The following is a 9,232-nucleotide window of genomic DNA, read 5'->3' on the forward strand; positions in this document are numbered from 1 at the left end:
GATAGAAGAATTTCCAGAGTCCATGAGAGAGACACCATGCACAACCAAGTCCAGAGAGGTCTGGGCAGGCTAGTAGTCAGGGTTCTGAATCAAGAATTCAGCCTTGTGTGGAGGAGCTATAAAGAGACAAAGTGGAGGATCTGGGTGGTGCATCCAGGACAACATATATGAATAGCCTTCAGATATCTCTTACTCACCACTGCCTGATGAAAATTACTGGATAATTTGAGTGAACAGGTCTACGGGGTGAAAGAACCAGAGCATATCAGACACCCCATCCTACCTTAGACTGCTTGCTACATATTGTCAAGCAGACTGACTATTGTTGGCTCCTATATATCAAGTAATACTACTTATGGCTCCTGAGGGAGCAACATTTCTTGATGACCCTGGGACCCAATGCATTCTTGCCAATGTACCTGAGCTGAAGGCTATCTTTATGTCTCCTGAACAGAGGCATTTCTTCCCCTATGAACAGTGGATCCTGTCCCCTGAGGTTGGCACTGTGCAAATAAATGGGGTTAGTGAATAATGATACATAGTTGAGACAGGCCAGGAATAGCATGAGTAGTGGACGAGGACACGTAGCTGGAAGGAGGGAGAAATTGATGTCCCAAGCTTAGACGGACTTTTCATGCTTCTTGAATTTTTGCACTACAGAGGGTGGATATCTGTATTTGCTGGTCTATGTTTGCCACCAGATACTGCACGGGGTAAGGGTGTCTTAGTTATTTCAGGTGGCTACAACAAAAATGCCGTAAACTTAGTGGCTTATAAACAATAGAAAATTATCTCTCACAGTTCTGGAGGTTGGGAAACCCAAAATCAAAGCCCAACAAATTTGGGTTTCTGGTGAGGACCTAATTTCTAGTTCATGGATAACTGTCTTTTTGCTGTGTCCTTCCACCGTGAAAAGGGCAAGGAATCTCTTTTGAGTTTATTTTACACGGGCAATAATCACAATAATGAATCCCCACCCCCCACCCCCGCAGAACCTAATCACCTCCCAAAGGCCTCACCTCCAAATACCATTACCATGAGAGGTTAGGATTTCAAAATGTAAATTTGGGGAAAACATAAACATTCAGTCCATTCCAAGTGCATTGGCCTACAGTATAGACAGTTGCAGAGTGGATGGTGAGCTTATGGAGATGGCACACTACCCTGTTAAACTGATGGTGGCTGATGAAAATATGTGAGATCTAATGCAGCAAGCATCATATAACATCTTATTGCCAGCATCTCCACCTTTAAGATGAGAGTGTTAGGGCCTGGGAAGGAGACATTTCCAATCACACACTGTGATAGATTTTAATGATAATTCTCAGGTTAGGTGAACAGTTGTAGCACTTTGGGATTCTTCCATGAAGGCAGAAGAACCTACCAGGAGGCAGGCTTCATATTTCAGTACTTCTTAATTATAATTTTTGTGGGTACATAATAGGTGTATATATTTATTGGGTACATGAAATGTTTTGACACAGACCTGCAAAGCATAACAACTGCATCATGGAGAATGGGGTATCCATACCCTCAGGCATTTATCTCTTGTGTTACAAACAATTCAGTTATAATATTTTCATTATTTTAATATGTACAATTATTATTTACTATAGTAACTCTGTTGTGCTATCAAATAGTAGGTCTTATTCATTCTTTCTAACAAATTTTTTTGTACCCATTAACCATCCTCATATAGCCCCACTACCCTTCCCAGCCTCTGGTAACCATCCTTCTACTTCTCTATGTCCATGAGTTCAATTGTTTTGATTTTCAAATCCCACAAATAAGTGAGAACATTTGATGTTTGTCTTTCTGTTCCTGGCTTATTTCACTTAAAATAATGATCTCCAGTTCCATCCATGTTGTTGCAAGTGACTGGATCTCATTCTTTATGACTGAATAGTACTCCATTGCGTGTATGTAGCATATATTATTTTTCCATTCATCTGTTGATGAACACTTAGGTTGCTTCCAAATCTTAGCTGTTGAGAACAGTGCTGGAACAAACGTGTGAGTACAGATGTCTCTCTCATATACTGATTTCCTATTTTTTGGGTCTATATCCAGCAGTGGGATTTCTGGATTTGATGACAGCTTTATTTTTCATTTTTTGAGGAACCTCCAAACTGCTCTCCATAGTGGTTGTACTAACATTTCCATCAACAGTATACAAGGGTTCCCTCTTTTCTCCACGTCCTCATCAGTATTTGCTATTGCCCCTCTTTTGATATAAGCCATTTTAACTGGGGTGAGATGATATCTCACTGAAGTTTTGATTTACATTTTTCTTATAATCAATGATGTTGAGCATCTTTTCATATGCCAGCTTGTCATTTGTAGGTCTTCTTTTGAGAAATGTCTATTCACAGTTTTTGACCATTATTTAATTGGATTATTAATTTTTTCCTTAGAATTGCTTGAGCTGCTTATGTATTCTAGTTATTAATCCCTTGTCAGATGGGTAGTTTGTTAATATTTTCTCCTGTTCTGTGGGTTGTCTCTTCACTTCGTTGGTTGTTTCCTTTGCTGAGCAGAAGCTTTTTAACCTGATGTGATCCCATTTGTCCATATTTGTTTCGGTTGCCTGTGCTTGTGGGGTATTACTCAAGAAATTTTTGCCCAGACCCATGTCCTGGAGATATTCTTCAATGTTTTCTTGTAACAGTTAAATAGTTTGAGGTCTTAAATTTAAGTATTTAATCCATTTTGATCTGATTTTTGTATATGGCAAGAGATAGGGGTCTAGCATCATTCTTCTGCATATGGACATCCAGTTAACCCAGCACCATTTATTGAGGAGACTATCTTTTCTGCAGAGTATATTCTTGGCACCTTTGTCTAAAATGAGTTCACTGAAGGTATGTGGATTTTTTTCTGGGTTCTCTATTCTGTTCCATTGGTCTATGTGTCTGTTTTTATGCTAGTTCCATGCTGTTTTAGTTATTACAGTTCTGTAGTATAGCTTGAAGTCAGGTAATATGATTCCTTCCTTCAGTTTTGTTCTTTTTAGGCTATTCTGGGTCTTTTGTGGTTCAATATAAACTTTAGAATTTTTTTTTTCTATTTCTGTGAAGAATGTAATTGGTATTTTGATAGACTGCATTGAATCTGTAGATTGCTTTTGGTAGTATGGGCATTTTAACAATATTGATTATTCCAATCCATGAACACGAAATATTTTTCAGTATTTTGGGCATCCCTTTCAATTTCTTGCATCAGTGTTTTATAGTTTTATTTACAGAGACCTTTCATTCACCTCTTTAGTTAATTCCTATGGGTTTAATTTTATGTGTGGCTATTGCAAATGGAATTATTACTATCATTATTATTTTTTATTATACTTTAAGTTTTAGGGTACATGTGCACAACGTGCAGGTTTGTTACGTAAGTATACATGTGCCATGTTGGTGTGCTGCACCCATTAACTCGTCATTTATATTAGGTATATCTCCTAATGCTATCCCTCCCCACTCCCCCTACCCCACAACAGGCCCCAGTGTGTGATGTTCCCCTTCCTGTGTCCAAGTGTTCTCATGGTTCAGTTCCCACCTATGAGTGAGAACATGCGGTGCTTGGTTTTTTTGTCCTTGCAATAGTTTGCTGAGAATGACAGTTTCCAGCTTCAGCCATGTCCCTACAAAGGACATGAACTCATCCGTTTTTATGGTTGCATAGTATTCCATGGTGTACATGTGCCACATTTTCTTAATCCAGTCTATCATTGTTGGACATTTGGGTTGGTTCCAAGTCTTTGCTATTGTGAATAGTGCCGCAATAAACATACGTGTGCATGTGTCTTTATAGCAGCATGATTTATAATCCTTTGGGTATATACCCAGTAATAGGATGGCTGGGTCAAATGGTATTTCTAGTTCTAGATCCCTGAGGAATCACCACATTGACTTTCACAATGGTTGAACTAGTTTACAGTCCCACCAACAGTGTAAAAGTGTTCCTATTTCTCCACATCCTCTCCAGCACCTGTTGTTTCCTGACTTTTTAATGATTGCCATTCTAACTGGTGTGAGATGGTATCTCACTGTGGTTTTGATTTGCATTTCTCTGATGGCCAGTGATGATGAGCATTTTTTCATGTGTCTTTTGACTGCATAAATGTCTTCTTTTGAGAAGTGTCTGTTCATATCCTTTGCCCACTTGTTGATGGGGTTCAAAAGCTGGAGGCATCACACTACCTGACTTCAAACTATACTACAAGGCTACAGTAACCAAAACAGCATGGTACTGGTACCAAAACAGAGATATAGACCAATGGAACAGAACAGAGCCCTCAGAAATAATGCCACACATGTACAACTATCTGATCTTTGACAAACCTGACAAAAACAAGAAGTAGTGAAAGGATTCCCTATTTAATAAACGGTGCTGGGAAAACTGGCTAGCCATATGTAGAAAGCTGAAACTGGATCCCTTCCTTACACCTTATACAAAAATTAATTCAAGATGGATTAAAGACTTACATGTTAGACCTAAAACCATAAAAACCCTAGAAGAAAACCTAGCCAAAACCATTCAGGACATAGGTATGGGCAAGGACTTCATGTCTAAAGCACAAAAAGCAATGGCAACAAAAGCCAAAATTGACAAATGAGATCTAATTAAACTAAAGAGCTTCTGCAGAGCAAAAGAAACTACTATCAGAGTGAACAGGCAACCTATAGAATGGGAGAAAATTTTTGCAATCTACTCATCTGACAAAATGCTAATATCCAGAATCTACAAAGAACTCAAACAAATTTACAAGAAAAAACAAACAACCCCATCTGCAAATGGAATTATTTTTAAAATTTATTTTTCACATTATTCACTGTTGGCATATAGAAATGCTACTGAATTTTGTATGTTTATTTTTATCCCACGACTTTATTGAACTTGTTTAACAATTCTAATAGTTTCTTTGGAACGTCTTTAGAATTTTTTCAAATATGAGATCATATCATCTGCAAACAAGGGTAATTTGACTTCTTTAATTCCAATTTCAGTGCCTTTATTTCTTTATTTTGCCTGATTGCTCTAGCTAGAAGTTCCAGTACTATCTTAAATAACAGTAGTGAAAATAAGAATCCTTATTTTGTTCCAGGTCTTAGTGGAATGGCTTTCAGTTTTTTTCCATTCCATATGATATTAACTGTGGGCCTGTTTTATATAGCTTTTATTATTTTGAGGTATGTTCCTTACATATCTAGTTTTTTGAGAGATTTTATCATGAAGAGATGTTAAATCTTATCAAATACCTTTTTAGCATCAGTGGAAATTATCATGTGGTGTTTGTCCTTCATTCTGTTGACGTGATGTAACACGTTAATTGGTTTACATATGTTGAACCATCCTTGTGTCTCAGAGATAAATCCCACTTGGTCGTGATAAATGATATTTTTAACATATTGTTGAATTCAGTTCACTAGTATTTTTTTTTTAACCTTAAGTTCTGGGATACATGTGTAGAATGTGCAGGTTTGTTACATAGGTATACGTGTGCCATGGTGGTTTGCTGCACCAATTGACCTGTTATCTACGTTCCCTCCCATCACTCCCACCCCCAACAGGCCCCAGTGTGTGTTGTTCCCCTCTCTGTGAGCATGTGTTCTCCTTGTTCAACTCCCACGTATGAATGAGAACATGTGGTGTTTGGTTTTCTGTTCCTACGTTAGTTTGCTGAGGACAATGGCTTTCAGCTTCATCCATGTCTCTGCAAAAGACACGATCTCATTCCTTTTTATGGCTGCAGTACTCCATGGTGTATATGTACCACATCTTCTTTATCTAGTTTATCATTGATAAGCATTTGGTTTGGTTCCATATATTTGCTATTGTGAATAGGGCTGCAATAAACATACATGTGCATGTGTCTTTATAGTAGAATGATTTATATTCTTTTGGGTATATACCCAGTAATGGGATTGCTGGATCAAATGACATTTCTGGTTCTAGATCCTTGAGGAATTGCTACACTGTCTTTCACAATGGTGGAACTAATTTACATTCCCACCAACAGTGTAAAAGCGTTCCTATTTCTCCACAGCCTCATCAGCATCTATTGTTTCTTGACTTTTTAATAATCACCATTCTGACTGGCATAAGATGGTATCCAACTGTGGTTCTGATTTGCATTTCTCTAATGATCAGGGATGTTGAGCTTCTTTTCATATGTTTGTTGGCCACATAAATGTCTTCTTTTGAGAAGTGTCTGGTCATATCCTTTGCCCACTTTTTGATGGGGTTACTTTTTCTTGTAAATTTGTTAATTTCCTTGTAGATTTTGGATATTAGACCTTTGTCAGATGGGTAAATTGCCAAAATTTTCTCCCATTCTGTAGGTTACCTGTTCACTCGGATGATAGTTTCTTAAGCAGGTACAAGACAAGGATGCCCTCTGTCACCACTCCTATTCAATGTAGTATTGAAAGTTCTGGCCAGGGCTATCGGACAAGAGAAAGAAATAAAACGTATTTATATAGGAAGAGATGAAGTCAAATTGTCCCTGTTTGCAGATGACATAATTCTATATTTAGCAAACCCCATTGTCTCAGCCCAAAAAACTCCTTAAGCTGATAAGAAACTTCATCAATGTCGCAGGATACAAAATCAGTGTGCAAGAATCACAAGGGTTCCTATACACCAACAATAGACAAGTAGACAAATCATGAATAAACTCCCATTCACAAATGCTACAAAGTGAATAAAATACCTGAGAATACAGCTAACAAGGGATGTGAAGGACCCTTTCAAGGAGAACTACAAGCCACTGCTCAAGGAAATAAGAGAGGACACAAACAAATGGAAAAAACATTCCATCATCATGGATAGAAAGAATCAATATAGTGAAAATGGCCATACTGCTGAAAATAATTTATAGATTCAATGCTATCCCCATCAAGCTACCATTGACATTATTCACAGAATTAGAAAAAACTACTTTAAATTTCATATGGAATCAAAGAATAGCCCATATATCCAAGACAATCCTAAACAAAAGGACAAAGCTGGAGGCATCATGCTACCTGACTTCAAACTATACTACAAGGCTACAGTAACCAAAACAGCATGGTACTGGTACTAAAACAGACATATAGACCAATGGAACACAACAGAGGCCTCAGAAATAACATCACACATCTACAACCATCTGATCTTTGACAAACCTGACAAAAACAAGCAATGGGAAAAGGATCTCCTATTTAGTAAATGGTGCTTGGAAAACTGGCTAGCCATATGCAGAAAACTGAAACTGGACCCCTTCCTTACACCTTATACATAAATTAACTCAAGATAGATTAAATACTTAAATGTAAAACCCTAGTATTTTGTTGAGAATTTTTGCATCAACATTACTCAGAGATACTCGTCTGTAGTTTTCTTTTTTGATATGTCTTTGTCTGGTTTTAGTATTGGGGTAACACTTGCCTTGTAGAATGTGTTTGGAATTATTCTCTCCTCTGTTTTTCAGAATAGCTTAAGTAGCGTTTCTATTAGTTCTTTTTTAAATGTTTGATAGAATTCTGCAATGAAGTCATTGTGGCCTGGACCTTTCCTTACTGGAAGATCTTTTGTTACAACTTTGATTTTGTTACTTATTATTGCTCTATTCAGGTTTTGGATTTCTTTCTGGGTCAATTTTCCCAGGTTGTATGTGTCTAGGAATTTGTCAATTTATTCTAAATTTTCCAATTCTTTGGCATATAGTTGCTTACAGTAGCCAGTAATAATGCTTTGAATTTCTGCAGTATCAGTTGTAATGTCTCATTTTTTATATCTGATTTTATTTATTTTGATATTCTTTCCTAGTTTGTCTGGCTAATGTTTTGTCAAATTTGTTTAACTTTTCAGAAACCAACTTTTTGTTTAAATGGGCTTTTGTATTGCTTTTTAAATTTCAAATTCATTTATTTCAGCTTCGTTCTTTATTACATCTTTTCTTTTACAAATTTTTGGTTTTGTTTGCTCTTGCTTTTCTAGTTCTTTAACATACAATTAGATCGTTTATTTAAATTTCTCTTTTTATGATGTAGGCAGTTATACCTATAAACTTCCCGCTTAGTACTGCTTTTGCTGTATCCCATAGGTTTTGAAATATTGTGTTTACATTATCATTCCTTTTAAGAAATTTTTCATTTTCCTTCTTAATATTGTTATTGACCAACTGGTCATTTAGGAGTATATTGTTCATTTTTTCTGTATTTGTATAGTTTCCAAAATTTCTTTTGTTATTGATTTATAGCTTTATTCCACTGTGGTCAGAGAAGATGCTTGATATTATTTCAATTACTTTTGAATATTTTAATACTTTTTTCTGACATAACATATGGTTGCCTATCCTTGAGAATGATCCATGTGTTGAGTAAAAGAATGTGTATTCTGGGCCGGGCTCGGTGGCTTACGCCTGTAATCCCAGCACTTCGGGAGGCTAAGGCGGGTGGATCATGAGGTCAGGAGATGGAGACCATCCTGGCTGACACGGTGAAATCCCGTCTCTACTAAAAAAATACAAAAAATTTGCCAGGCGTGGTGGCGGGCATCTGTAGTCCCAGCTACTTGGGAGACTGAGGCGGGAGAATGTTGTGACCCTGGGAGGCAGAGTTTGCAGTGAGCCAAGATAGTGCCACTGCACTCCAGGCTGGGCGACAGAGCGAGACTCCGTCTCAAAAAAAAAAAAAAATTAAAATAAAAAAATTTAAAAAAATGTGTATTCTGTAGCTATTGGATAAAATGTTCTACGAATATCTTAGATCCGTTTGGTCTACAGGGCAGATTAAGTCCAAAGATTTTTTTGTTGACTTTCTGTCTGAAAACTCTGATCAATGCTGAAAGTGAGGTGTTAAGAGTCCCCAGCTATTATTGTATTGAGGCCTATCTCTCTCTTTAGTTCTAATAATATTTGCTTTATATATCTGAATGCTTCAGTGTTGGGTGCATATATTTTTAAAATTGTTATATCCTTTTGCTGAATTGACCCCTTTTTCATTATGTAGTGACTTTCTTTGTCTCTTATAGATTTTTCATAAAATCTGTTTTGTCTTATGTAGGTATCTACTCCTGCTAATTTTTAGTTTCCATTGGCATGGAGTATATTTTTCCATCCCTTTATTTTTAGTCTATGTGTGTCTTTATACATGAAGTGTCTTTCTCATAGGCAACAGATGAAAGGGTCTGAATTCTTTACCCATTTAGCCACTGTATGTCTTTTGATTGGACAGTTTAGTCCACTTGCATT

Source organism: Homo sapiens, chromosome X (genome assembly GCF_000001405.40).
Source record: "Homo sapiens chromosome X, GRCh38.p14 Primary Assembly".
NCBI classification, from domain to species: domain Eukaryota; kingdom Metazoa; phylum Chordata; class Mammalia; order Primates; family Hominidae; genus Homo; species Homo sapiens.